Source organism: Homo sapiens, chromosome 8 (genome assembly GCF_000001405.40).
Source record: "Homo sapiens chromosome 8, GRCh38.p14 Primary Assembly".
Taxonomy (NCBI): domain Eukaryota; kingdom Metazoa; phylum Chordata; class Mammalia; order Primates; family Hominidae; genus Homo; species Homo sapiens.
Window position 1 is genome coordinate 38,959,527 of NC_000008.11, and position 14,420 is coordinate 38,973,946.

Below are 14,420 nucleotides of genomic sequence, written 5' to 3' on the forward strand. Positions count from 1 at the left end.
AATGGAGATGATGATCTTCAACCCCAGCCCTTTTAATGACATGCTGTCAAGGATTGCCTGGCCCTGTGCAGTGTGGAGGACAGAAGAGAAAAGGCTAAGATAGGATGAGAGAGAACAGTTTGAAGGCTGTTGTTAATAATTTAGTGAAGGATAAAGGAAGCCTGAATGAGGGTAGATGGAGAAAAGTGGAAAATTTGAGAGATATTAAAAAGGTATATTTTCCAGGACTTGAGAGTCAGTCGGATGAAGGGAGAGAGGACAGGTATGCCCGGATGTTTGGCTGGAGCCTCAGGATGGCTCATGGCACCAGTCATTGTAACAGGAGCATGGGAGGAGGAGCTGTTGAGAGGAAACACAAGGTTAGCATAGGTGGTTCAGAGTTTACAGTGCCTGCTGGACATCCAAGGAGATGTGCTATGAAGACCATTGGATACACACTGCTTGGCATGTTGCTGACACTAAATAAATATTTGCTAAGGGAATGATTGTGCTGGTTGAGTTCAGGAGAGAGCTTTGGACTAAAGACAGCAATTTGGGAAACACGAAACCCAACCAAAAAATGTTCCAAAGATAATCTACATGAGTGTATGCACATTTACCAGAAGATTCTAATCACCCCATCTTCCATTGCCTTCTGCTTCCCACATTTCTGGGATAAGAGAACACTAGCGTCACACTGAATAAGTAAACGAGAGGGAGGACAAATCTGTTTACAGCACCTAACTCAAAAAACAGTGGAAAGAGAATAGTATAGATTAAAAATCACTTAAAATATTTATCAATTCATTAAAAATAGCAACTATCAAGCTGGGCACCATGGGATGCACCTGTCGTCCCAGCTACTTGGGAGGCTGAGGCAGGAGGAGAGTTTGAGCCCTGGAGTTTGAAGTTGCAGTTAGCTATGATCTCGCCACTGCACTCCGGCCTGGGTGACAAATCAAGACCCTTTAAAGACCTTGTCTCAAAAAAAAATGAGCAATCATAAACTCATTATAAGTTAATAAAACAGATTTTGTGAAAAAAACATATTTCTAAAAAATAGCAAGAATAGTATTGTTTTTACAGTTTTGCACATCTATCTTTAATGGCTGGCATAATAGAAGACAACAGGATTCTCCTATCTGCTTCTGCATTCTATCTGTGGCCATATGTTGTTTTGATTGAAGAATATGGAGAAAATCTTGCCTCACACAGATGTGTATTTGGAAAAAAGGAATATTTTAATAGCCTTTTTAGATAATTGTGGATATTCTTTGATTCTATACCAAAACTTGACAAATGTTAATTTCTTAATGTTTAGGTACAATGTACAATCTGAAGCCATATCAAGAAATTTTTATACTCTTACATTAAAATCCATTGGTCAATTTTGCACTTTGAATAGATACTTTTTATCCATGCATGGTTTTTAACAGTATGCATTGGTCATTTGGAAAACAATGGTCTCACTGAGGTATGCAGATATTCAAAATGTTGACACATTTTATTATGTACTATCCAAAATCACATCATTAAGATATCACCACTAATATCATTAACAGTCTTTGAGTGTAGAAAACTATTAAGCTCATGGAGGTAGCCAGAATTTTTTTTGAAATTCTAGTTTTTGCTTTGAAAGCTCAAAGCTTACTCATTTTGGGGATAAAAATCTACCAAATACCTAACTCGGAATAAGTTTGACTGACAGTTTGTATGTCAGTCATTTGTTCTAAGTAAAAATTGTGTTTTAGGCCAGGCACGGTGGCTCACGCCTGCAATCCTGGGACTTTGGGAGGCCAAGGCAGTGGATCATCTGAGGTCAGGAGTTCGAGGTCAGCCTGGCCAACATAGTGAAACCCTGTCTCTATTAAAAATACAAAAATTAGCGGGGTGTGGTGGTGCGCACCTGTAATCCCAGCTACTTGGTAGGCTGAGGCAGGAGAATCTCTTGAACCCAGGGGGCGGAGGTTGCAGTGAGCCGAGATCACACCACTGCACTCCAGCCTGGAAGACAGAGTGAGACTCTGTCTCAAAAAATTAAATAAATAAATAATAAAAATTGTGTTTTACACAAAAGATGAAAGAATATGCCTACTGGTAGAGCTTGGTGCTAAGGTGCTGGCAGTTTTACCCACCATGCCAAAGTGTCCTTCTGACCTGCTCCCCAAGGTTATGCTCAGTAAATCTGCCAGAAAGAACCGTTCATCCTGAGTATCTAAGAGAGCTAGACCAAAGAGCAGGGCAGATCATGGTGGAGAAGACTCCCTAGACAGAAGAGAAAGACTTGGGTTAGATTCTAACCACTTAGATCTTGGTCGTTTAACTGTTTAACTCAGATGTCATATTTACGTATAATTTGTACCCTGTGATTTCTCACACTGTAGTAGTCTTTTCTGTTAAGAAAAGCTACCATTTTTTGGACACCTAGATGTCCCAGGCATAGTGCTAAACAACTTACAGGTAGTATAAGTTAAAGTTTATCACTTTGTAGTATAAGTACTATAAGTAGTATAAGTTTATCACTTAAATCTCAGCCGTCTCTGAAATTATCTCCAGTTTACACACAGGAAAAAGAAGGCTTTGAAGGTAAATTATTTGTGCAGGATCATAATAAATCCAGTGAATTATGGAACCAACTGGGAAGCACCAGGTGCTGGAGCAAGATTTGCCAACTTGGGTTGTTTGCGAGCAGCCTGGTCCAGGCCGGGTGCAGTGGCTCACACCTCTAATCCCAGCACTTTGGGAGGCCAAAGTGGAAGGATTGTTGGAGCCCAGGAGTGCGACACCAGCCTCAGCAACCCAGTGAGACCCCTGTCTCTAAAAACAAGCAAAAGTAAACCAAAAGAAAAGAAAAAAATAAGAGCAGCCTGGTCCAGAACCCATGATATAGAGGGTGTGGTCACAGACAACCAGGGAAGTCTGACTCTGTTGGAGAAGACCAACTTGGGGTAATTGGGTGTCTTGGCAAATGGATCATGGTGACCAAAAATCCAAGATCTGGAAATAACCAGGTATCTAAGCAGGTAGAAAGGCCAGTGATTTCAGCAAGCTTGTAAGCAGGTAAACAGTTCTCAGTTCTGGGCAAAAGTTCAAAATCACATTTCAATTCTTGAGCTACCAGGCAAGTAGAGGTCACCATTTCCCCATTTCCCATTCATAGAATGTCAAGGGAATTAGGCAGTTTATCAAGAGGGAAATTAGTTATTCGAAATGAGAAATGTGGTGCAAACTGGTCTTAGCTTGGCATAAGCCCAGTTGTTAGAACTAGGGTGCTATGTCAGGACAAGAGTAGCAATAAGTGGACTCAAGTGAGTTGCAGAGTGTTGCATTAGAGCTCTTCGGATACTTACTGTTTAATTTAGACTACAGGGTGAATGATGTCACCTAGAACTATGTAGTGTGCAATCTACACAATCGTATGTGGCAGGGCTGTGTCTAGAGATGGCACTAGTTCTTGGGAAAGGAGGGTTGCAGAGGTGGAGAACAGAATGAAGGAGGAGTTGCCTAAAAATTTTGGATAGCGGCAATGGCAGTAACCAGAAGTAGATATGGAAGCCTTTATGGCCTCTAGAATTCATTGCTTCAAACCATTGTATCTATTATAGTGCTGGGCTTATGTTAGATAGTCAATAGAAGCTCACTGGACTACAATAAAACTGCAGGCTGCAACGATTCATTTTAATACTGTCTGTCCTACTCATCTCAAAAACTGCCCTCAAGGACAGAAGCCCTGCTTTTTCTTTTGAACCGAGCACCAGAAACAGGTGCACACACATAAGCACACCAGGAAGAGATGAAGCTATGACCTTGGCACTTCCTTTTTTGTTTTACTGAGTTTAAAGTATGTTTTTAGTCTCATGGTAATTCATCATGGGTGGGTAGACTTCAGCTATATATATTTTTTTAAACCTCTGTTTCATGAAGCTACTTTGTGATGTGGTTTTACGATTTTGATGAAAGCTAAGCACAGGCTTTCCGTAAAAATAGATATGTACATAACCATAATTTTTGCATACAATTTTGGAGTTTCATTGAGTTTTTGTTTCTCATGAATCCCAGTTCTTAAAACTACTAGGAGAGATTATAGGCCAGGCCTGGTGGCTCATGCCTGTAATCCCAGCACTTTGGGAGGCTGAGGCAGGAGGATTGCTTGAGGCCAGGAATACCCTGCTCCAAAAAAAATTTAAAAATAAAACATTGTAATTGTGATCTCAATAAAATAATATTGTTTCTTCTCATATGGAATTCATTGCAATATCTGATTTTCTTTTTGAGCAGTATTTTAAAATAACATTTATTAGGGAGTAGCATTTATCTTCATGGCTGAGTTACTATCTAGGTTATCTGACCGAAAAATGTTCTTAAGAAGGAATTAGAGAATTAGGGAAGAAATATAACTAGTAAACAATTTCCGTCTTCACTAAATTACTAAATGTTTTAAGAAAGAGATTTAATTATTTTACCTATCATATTAGCAAAGATTTAAAAAATTATAATATTTAATTCTAGCAAGGGTGCATGTAACAAAAATGTTGGCAAATGAAATTTATATTATTGGCCAGAAATCTCTCTGGCCAGATGTAAGAAGAGATTTAAAAGGGTGTGAATTCTTTAATTTAGTAATTGCCTTGGGAGCTGAGGGTTCCTAAATATTCCTAAATACGAAAAAAGCTTTATCCCCAAAGATGTGAGTAGCAGCATTATTCATATGAGGAGAATAGGGAATATTCAAAAAATATTTTAGAGCAGCGATCCCCAACCCCTAAGCTGTGGACTGGTACTGGTCCATGGCCTGTTAGGAACCTGACCACACAGTAGGAGGTGAGCAGTGGGAGAGCAAACATTATCGCCTGAGTTCCACCTCCTGTCGGATCGGCAGCGGCATTAAATTCTCATAGGACTGCGAACCCTATTGTGAACTGTGCATGTGAGGGATCTAGGTTGTGCGCTTCCTATGAGAATGTAATGCCTGATGATCTGAGGTGGAACAGTTTCATCCCGAAACCACCCGTCATCCCCCTCCCTTTACCCTTCCAAGTTCATGGAAAAATTGTCTTCCACAAAACCGATCCCTATGCTGAAAAGGTTGATGACCACTGTTTTAGAGGACTAGGTGGGTGAACCATAGTATATCTACTTGGATCCCCTGAAAATGCTTACAAAGACGTCTGGTAACATGGAAAAATCCTTCTATTATTAACTGAAAAAAAAAATCAAGATATAATGTATCTTTGTATTTTGGAAAACAGAAATGAATAGCAAAAAGACTGGATTTGCTCTCAATTGTTATTTTAGAATTTTGTGAGGTTTTAAAGTGATTTTATTTTATTTTTTCTTGTTACTTCCCTTTTTTTTTTTTTTTTTTTTTTTTTTTTTTGCAAAGGTTAGGGAGAAGAGGTCTTGCTCTGTTGCCCATGCTGGTCTCGAACTCCTGGGCTTAAGCCATCTTCCCACATTCTAAACTTTAGCCTCCTAACATTGTGGGATTACAGGCTTGAACCACAGTATCCAGCCGATTTTAATTTTTTATTTTTCTACATTTATTATCTATATTGTCTTTAATGAGCCCTTATTACTTGCAAAAAGGAAAACGGGGAAAAAATAACAAATTGTATTAGGTAGTCATCCAAGAATAATAGTGGTATTTTGATTCTTGTACTTGAGTGCCCATCTAAATCAGGATAGTCCTAGTTTTCTGTGATTCTGTGATTTCTTGCTAAGCAGAGGCTGGGTGAAGACACCTGGGTTTCCTGTGTGACAGTTCCTGGAGAAGGAGTTTGTGGGGAGGCAGTACTTCAAAGCGCAGTCAGGCAGGTGGCCTGTGGCCTGTGGGGGTAGCATTTGACATGACGGAGAGCATTTCAGTAGACTGCTGGAAGGAGCATGGAGATAGCTTAACACCCCTGGAAACTGATTATCGGATTGTCATCCTGGGGATGTTCCTGTCTGTTTAATGAAAATGTCAGATCTCCTATGTGACATAGGAGACTTTCTCCCTCAGCTCATATGCCTCCTACCAAATCATCTTTTGTTCCCCTAGGAGGAAAATCTCTTAATAAATGCTTTTCTCCTAATGGATGATGACCTCCATCTCATTCAAATTCAAAATAACCTTTTTTTTAACCTCCAAATACATGATCTTATTTGATCTTGATGATTTGATCTTTGAGGTAGGAATTAGCTGCAGTTTGAGGATGAGGAAACTGAGAAAAGGTCTTCTTATGGAGAGGGCAATGCGCTTATCTGTAAATGGTGGCGTTTAAGGCTTCATTTTTTTGTCGCATATCATATAATACCAGTGAAAACAACAATAATATCTGCTACTTACAGAGCCCATTCTGTGCGTTCGGCCCTGTTTCAATAGTTTTTCCTAATTGAGGTCATTTAATTCCCTCAATAATTAAGCTTGTGGAACAGGCCAGCCCTGATATTTGTAAAGAACCTTCTGGAAGGATCTTGGAGTCCTTATCCTGGTGATCTTTTTGGACAAAGGATGGGTTTGTCTTTTTCTTGGGAAACCACCAGATTGTCAAATAACTGGAAAAAGTCAAGCGGGGAGACAGCGCTAGTAAGTTTGCAGGCAGAGCACACGTTAGAGAGGTGTTCACTTTGGCCACTTGTCACTACACCCTTTTTGCCCTCGTGCACCAGGACCTGAACGGTTTTCCTTGTAGGTGCACACATCTAACCAAGGAGGGTTTGTTTTGGGGTGACAGGAAGGGGTAGGGATGCAGGTTTGAGAATTTTTGTTTTACTGTCTTTTCCTGATAGAATGCAAAGAGGAGGGGTCACTTTGGGGATGGGGGGATGAGGGGGGATGTGGAGTCCTTTGGGGGCTAGTGTGTGGTGGTGGCACATACATCTGCATGTGCACACCAATGCACGCGTGTGTGTTTTGGTGGGACTGTTAGGGGATGATGCTGGAGACAGAGGAAGGCTAACATGCATATTTCTGGAGATTCTGCCTGGTCCCATTGCTGTGTCTGGCACCTGATGCAGCATGTAACACCGGGTGGGGCCCTTAGCCAGCGTTTGCTCTGTTCACTTGAACTCAACCCCTATAAAGCTGGAGGGCACTGACAGGCTCCACCGGCAGTAGCGAGGCCGCTGGAGTTTCCTCCCTTTTTTCATAGAGCCGCTGCTGCCCCCTTCTGGGGTTTATAGGTTGTTTCTGGGAGGAAATAAGTAACTCGGCTTCATCCTTCACATACTGTGAAGCTTGGTGCTGCGAGTCCCACAACTCTTTAAATTTTTTTAAAAGTTTTATTCACAATAGCAAAGTCACAACTCTTTTTTTTTTGTATAAATTTAAGGGGTACAAGTGCGGTTTTGTTACATGAATATATTGCCTTTTGGTGAAGTCTGGGCTTTTGCTGTAACCATCACCTGAGTATTGTGCATCGTACGCATCAAGTAATTTCTCATCCCTCACCCGCCTCCCACCCTCCCTCCCTTCCATGTCTCCAGTGACAATTATTTCACACCCTATGTCCATGTGTACCCATTATTTAGCTCCCAGTTATAAGTGAGAATATGTGGTATTTGACTTTCTGTGTCTGAGTTGTTTCACTTAAGATAATAGTTTCATCTATATTTCTGCAAAAGACACGATTTCATTCATTTTTATAGATGAGTAGTATTCCATTATACATATGGACACCACATTTTCTTTATCGAGTCCTCTGTTGGTGGACACTTAGGTTGGTTCCATGACCTTACTATTGTGAATATTGCTGCAATAAACACAAGGGTGCAGGTATCTTTTTGATATAATGATTTCTTTAAAAAATTTTTAAAGTTTTATTTTAGGTTTGGGGGCACATGTGAAGATATAATGATTTCTTTTCCTTTGGAGAGACACCCACTATTGGGATTGCTGACCTGAATGGTAGTTCTATTTTTAGTTCTTTGAGAAATCTCTCTACTCCTTTCCATAAAGGTTGTACTAATTTACATGCCTTTCAGCAGTGTATAAGCAGTCCCTTTTCCCCACATCCTTGTCAGAATCTGTTTTTTGTCCTAATAATAGCTATTCTGACTGGTATGAGATGATTTTAATTTGCATTTCTCCAATGATTAGGGATAGTGAACATTTTTTTCATATGCTTCTTGGCCACTTGTATGTCTTGTTTTGAAAACTATTCATGTCCTTTGCTCACTTTTTTTTTTTTTTTGAGACAGAGTCTCACTCTGTCACCCAGACTGGAGTGCAGTGGTGTGATCTCGGCTCACTGCAACCTCTGCCTCCTGGGTTCAAGCAATTCTCCTGCCTCAGCCTCCCAAATAGCTGGGACTACGGGCGCACGCCACCACTCCTGGCTAATTTTTTGTATTTTAGTAGAGACGGGGTTTCACCATGTTGCCCAGGCTGGTCGTGAACTCCTGAGCTCAGGCAATCCACCCGCCTCGACCTCCCAAGTGCTGAGATTACAGGCATGAGCCACCACGCTTGGCCTACACTTTTTAATGGGATGATTTATGGTTTTGTTGTTGTTGTTGAGTTATTTGAGTTCCTTGTAAATTTCAAAGCGACCCAGTAGCTTGTATTCTGAGAAAAGCCCCATTTCTGAAGGCAATACATATCTTAGAGGATTTACAGTGGGATTTGGCTTTAATAGGGCTGGAATTGAAAGTGGGATTATTCTGTTCAGATAGTTACAGTGGAAAGGCAACTATGTTGAGAGTGAGGAGAACTCGAATCTCTACCAGCCATAAACCTTGGGCTTTGGCTTTCTGGGCCTCATTTTCCTTTTTTATAAAACTAGGAGGCTAGACTGGATCAGTTGTTTTCTGGAGGGGGTGATGGACTTCAGCAGCGGATAGGGTCTTAAACTTTCCCCTTCCTCACAGCCTGTGCCTCATTTCAGAGCAGCTCCACTTTGAGCGGTTTTATTTATTGGGTGTCAAATAAGATATTGCAGGGAAAACATGTCCTTAAAAGTCTGAAAGCTACTGGACTAGATGATTTCTGGGATGCTTTCTACCCCTAATGGTGTAATTTTATAAACTTAATATTGAGTCAGAGACTTGGAAGCTGAAATCATAGTGCCTAAAATTTCTTGGTAAGAGCCATGGATGTTTTGCAGGCAGACAGTCCAGAAGACATGCACAGCTGGATTAAGGAGATTGGCGCAGCTGTCCAGGCCCTCAAGTGCCACCCCAGAGTAAGTCACTTCCTTTCTGTTGCACAGTGTCAACTCAGAGATGAATTCCTCTCAAGCAGGCATGTTTTATTTGGTGATGTAGGCAAGCAGCCTGGTCCCGAGGTGCAGCTGAAGCCCCAGGCTGTCTTGCTTGTTTTTCTCATTCTACTAATTTGGGTACACATTTTTATTTTTCTCTGTTTGGTTGTGGGAGGAGGTGAGGTAGGGTTAGATAGAGAAATGGAATTTCTTTTTTTTTTTTTTTTTTGAGACGGAGTCTCACTCTGTCGCCCAGACTGGAGTGCAGTGGCACGATCTCAGCTTACTGCAACCTCTGCCTCCCAGGTTCAAGTGATTCTCCTGCCTCAGCCTCCCAAGTAGCTGGGATTACAGGCACGTGCCACCACGCCCAGCTGATTTTTTTGTATTTTTAGTAGAAATGGGGTTTCACCATGTTGGCTAGGCTGATCTCAAACTCCTGACCTCAGGTGATCCACTTGCCTCGGGCTCCCAAAGTGCTGGGATTTCAGGCATGAGCCACCACGCCCGGCCGAGAAACAGAATTTCTGATATGTCCTGCAAGTTTCACTGCCAGGCTGACGTTGACACATTTGGAGTGAATCCTTTTGACTGTATTTCATTTTTGTAGGCAAGCATCCTTGGACTTATGAGGTGGTGATCCTGGTTGGGTACTCTTTCTGGGACTCTGTGATAAACATTGTCTGAAAAGCCCTAACTTTCTTTTGTCTTTTTCTTCCTTTTATTTTTATAGGAAACGTCCTTTTCTAGATCCATTTCTTTGACCCGACCTGGAAGCTCCAGCCTTTCAAGTGGGCCCAACTCTATCCTGTGCAGGGGGCGGCCACCTTTGGAGGAAAAGAAAGCCCTCTGCAAAGCCCCCTCTGTGGCCTCCTCCTGGCAGCCCTGGACACCTGTCCCCCAGGCTGGGGAGAAGCTGCTTCCACCTGGAGACACTTCAGAGGACTCCTTGTTCACGCCTCGTCCTGGGGAGGGCAGCGCTCCTGGGGTGCTGCCCAGCTCCCGGATAAGGCACAGATCGGAGCCCCAGCACCCCAAGGAGAAGCCGTTTATGTTCAACCTTGATGATGAAAACATACGGACCTCTGATGTGTGATGGAGCACAGTGCCATGGGAGGGAGGGAGGGAGGGAGGACTTGAGAGAAGGAGGCTGTGACTCAGTTTCTCTACCTTGTTGGAGGGTAGTCAGAGGCCTTTATGTCACTCATATTCCTGTGGATGCTCTTTGGGAGGGAGGGGCCCATCCAGCTGGGCTGTGTGTGTGTGTGTGTGTGTGTGTGTGTGTGTGTGTAATATCAACGCAGTGTATTTAATTTGGGGAAGTCACTAGGTTAGAACTGTAGGCATACTCAGTGGAGAGGAAGCTACCTATTCTATTCTAACTATTCTGAGGTCTTCCTGGAGAGGGATTGTTTTAGCAGCTCCTCTCCAGAGGGGGCTGGAAGTCCAGTTTCACCAATGACCAAGTTTTATTTCCTTGTCCTTGTTTTAGTTTTTTCATTTTGTTTTCAGTCCAGGTGCCTCGCAGCTCTTTTGGAATGGGCCAGCATTAGTCTAATTTTAAGCGCTATGTGTTTTGTACCCTTGCAAACTTGCTTTCTCTTTCTTCTTGCTGTTGCCCTTTGAATGAAGCCTTGTGTGCTTGCATGATCAGACCCTGTAATAGGATGAATTTCCATGCACTTAACATGAAGAGATACAAAAAGAATCTAGAGAGAGATATATATTTTTAATGAAATAGAAGCTTGGCATAGAAACATTGATTTAGATGTTATGAGTTGCTGGCCAGAGATTCCTCAGATAAAAGAGCCTAGAAAATTGAGTTTTGAGCGGGCATGGTGGCTCACGCCTGTAATGCCAGTAGTTTGGGAGGCTGAGGCGGGTGGATCACCTGAGGTCAGGAGTTCGAGATCAGCCTGGCCAACATGGTGAAACCCCGCCTCTACTAAAAAATATGCAAAATTAGCCGGGCGTGGTGGTGCAGGCCTGTAATCCCAGCTACTCAGAGGCTGAGGCAGGAGATTCACTTGAACCCAGGAGGTGGAGGTTGCAGTGAGCCAAGATCGCGCCATTGCACTCCAGTCAGGGCAACAAGAGTGAAACTCCGTCTCAAAATATAAAAGAAAATTGAGTGTCCCACCCAAATTTTAGGGCGTACCTCCTTCCATTTGATAAGAAGATGCTATTTCCAGTGTCCCTGGGAGAATTCTTCCATCCAGTTTATATGGTGAATTGCCACCAGCGTTCCCTAAAGGAAGAGAGAACTTAGCTTATTTCTGTCTGTGACTTTTATCAGCTAGATCAGTTAATTGTATTTTTAAATTAAAAATTAGTAACTAGAGGAAGAGACTAAGAGAACTATTTTTACCTGAGTAAATGCTCTCCTCTTCTTGTGTCCAAATCTAATGCAGAGGTGAAAACACTTGATGAGAAAATCCTTTGTGGCTTGAGGGGAATCATGTTTCTTTCAGGACGTGTTGTTTCCCTGAAGTCTATGTCACACTGAGAACTTTTTCTGACTGCACTGCTTTGGAGCTATTCATTTAAATTGAGTTTGGCCTAGTTTTCCTGGTATAAAACAGGAAATCTACATTGTTCCCTCTTTCTCTCCCTTCCATCCCTTCCCCTGCCTTTCCTATACACGCTGGTGTGCTTTTGCCCTCAGAAATTCTTGGTTTGGGAGTTATGTATTTTTGAGTGATCGAGGTTATGACATACTTGGAGCGGCATGATTTCAAGAAGCCATTCCAAATTCTTATAGCTCCTTAGCTCTGGTTTTACTCTCGTATTTTCCCCAAGAAAATTTTTTGGCTATTCAAAGAAAGCACAAAATATGTGATGTGGAACTCATGAAAATAGGGACTTTTGATATCTCTTTAAATATTCCCTGACTCACGGAAAAGATGTCCTCTTTTGGTGTATACATTGTGAAAATCTACCCATTTATCTCTCTCTCTCTCTTTTCTTTTAAATAAATTATCTGATAAGGCCGGCAAGGTGGCTCACGCCTGTAATCCCAGCACTTTGGGAGGCCGAGGCGAGCGGATCACGAGGTCAGGAGATCGAGACCGCGGTGAAACCCCGTCTCTACTAAAAATACGAAAAAAAAATTAGCCGGGCGCAGTGGCAGGCGCCTGTAGTCCCAGCTACTTGGGAGGCTGCGGCAGGAGAATGGTGTGAACCTGGGAGGCGGAGCTTGCAGTGAGCCAAGATCGCGCCACTGCACTCCAGCCTGGGCGACAGAGCAAGACTCCATCTCAAAAAAAAAATTATCTGATAGGTTACTATTGCTAAATTAATTGGCCATTATAATAAGCTGATTTGTTTCTTATTCAGCAAGATCTCTTTTGAGAATGTGACAAATTAAACATACATAGAATCCATATGGTATTATCCTGATAAAGGGAAACGAGGACACTAAGACTGTCAAATGGAAATCTTCTTGTCAATTGGCAAACACTTGGGAATTCCACATTAGAGCATTGCTTGTTTTTAATTTTTTTTTTTTAATTTTTAAAAGACAGGGTCTCACTCTCTTACCCAGGCTAGAGTGCAGTGGTGTGATCATAGTTCATCATAACTTTGAATCTCTGGGCTTAAGCAATCCTCCCATGTTAGCTTCCCAAGTAGCTAGGACTACAGGGTTGTGCTACCACGCCTGGCTAATTTTTAATTTTTTTTTATCTACAGAGCCTGGCTATGTTGCCCAGGCTCTCTCAAACTCCTGGCCCAAGTGATCCTCCTGCCTTGGCCTCCTAAAGTGTTGGGATTACAGGTGTGAGCCACTGCACCTAGCCAGAACATCGTTAATGTAGTTCAATATGAGATAAATTATTATCTTCAATGAAACAAGCTCTAAAAGCATTCCATTCCTAAATTGTATTTCAAACTTCCTATTTTGTTGATATTTCTTAACTTCTGGCCAGTTTTGGACCATAATCTTTTAATGTGAACCAAAGATGGTACGTATTTGACCAAAGCAGTTAGTTTTAAATGTATAAAATTGAACCAAATGGAAAAAATAGGTTGGGGATGCAGTATAGATTAGTGACTAAGTGCATAGGCTCTGGAGTAAATCTGAGTTTTTTTTTTTTTAAAGGAACTAAAAAATGTACTGCATTTTCTTTGTGGAATAAAAGCCTTGCCTGAGTTGTGCTATTTTCATAAGGCTTTTGAAGTGGTCTTGACCCACTGTGTGTAACAGTATTTCAGGTGGTCCTCCCCATGGCTGAATAATGCCATCCATTATTCTTTAATTTTTATTTTTAGAAACAGTGTTTCACTCTGTCACCCAGGCTGGAGTGCAGTGGCCTGATCATGGCTCACTGCAGCCTGGACCTCCTGGGCTCAAGTGATCTTCCTGCCTCACAGCCTCCCAAAGTACTCAGATTATAGGTGTGAGCCACCACGCCTGGCCACCATCTATTACTTTTGAAATCTTCAAAAGACTTGCTTACTCAATGTCAGCTGATGGTTGGTAAAAATAATTTGGCCTTTAGTGTTAAGTGAGACATCATAAGGGTATTGAGGTATACATTATGGAGATTGATGTCAGGTCAGAATATTGGAGTTATACATCTATTTCTGAGTTGAATACTCAGCTCCCACGAGAAAGAAAGTAGTTTTAAGGTCCAGCTTCTTAGTCTACTTGAAGCAAATTTTTTTTCTTTTATATTTCTGAATATAAATATACTCTTATATGGGCTAAAAAGACCCCATGAATAAATAGCAGGTTCAGTAGTTGAGGAGTGGAGTTTAGTAGGTTTGTTTTCAGTATAAATTAGATAACATGTGGAGGTCACAGCATTTTGGAAATTGAGTGTCCCCAAGTGAGCTTTGTTTATAAACTTTCAAAATGTCGGAAGTGGACAGGTTTGTTAAATCTTGTCTGCCAGCACCCTTTTCTTCCTTTGTTCCTTTTCCTCTCTGTGTTATTGCCTGCGGCAGCCAGTCCTTCATACTAGATAGAGTTCAGATAAAGCAAACGTTTGGCAAAAACATACTGTTTGACCTCCTCCCCCTCTGCTTATGAAGGGGTAGCATGATTCTGTGTTTTAAAGCAGTGATGTTTCAGCTGTGAAATGCACTCGCTGTAAGCTCTAGGCTGAGTGCATGGAAACTGTTACGCTTCTCATTTTATGTGATCTCCTAATTGGTATGTAGCAAAAATTTTCTAAAACTGTTTTGTGGCTTGTTTTGTAATAAAACCATGTGAAATACTGAAATATGGTCATGTGTTTTCCTAATACTGACCTTCTG

At 41.7% G+C, this 14,420-nt stretch overlaps 1 protein-coding gene across 8 annotated transcripts in view; it reads left to right on the forward strand.

Moving 5' to 3' along the window:
- PLEKHA2 (pleckstrin homology domain containing A2) overlaps window positions 1–14,386 on the forward strand; it is a 72,567-nt gene extending 58,181 nt beyond the window's left edge. For all 8 annotated transcript variants that reach the window (NM_021623.2, XM_047422067.1, XM_011544607.4 and 5 more), the window contains 2 exons: window positions 9,066–9,143; window positions 9,895–14,386. In NM_021623.2, the coding sequence (NP_067636.1) occupies window positions 9,066–9,143; window positions 9,895–10,257 (441 nt within the window). In that variant the 3' untranslated portion in view covers window positions 10,258–14,386. The remainder of the gene's footprint in view (window positions 1–9,065; window positions 9,144–9,894) is intronic.
- The last annotated feature ends 34 nt before the right edge of the window (window positions 14,387–14,420 follow it).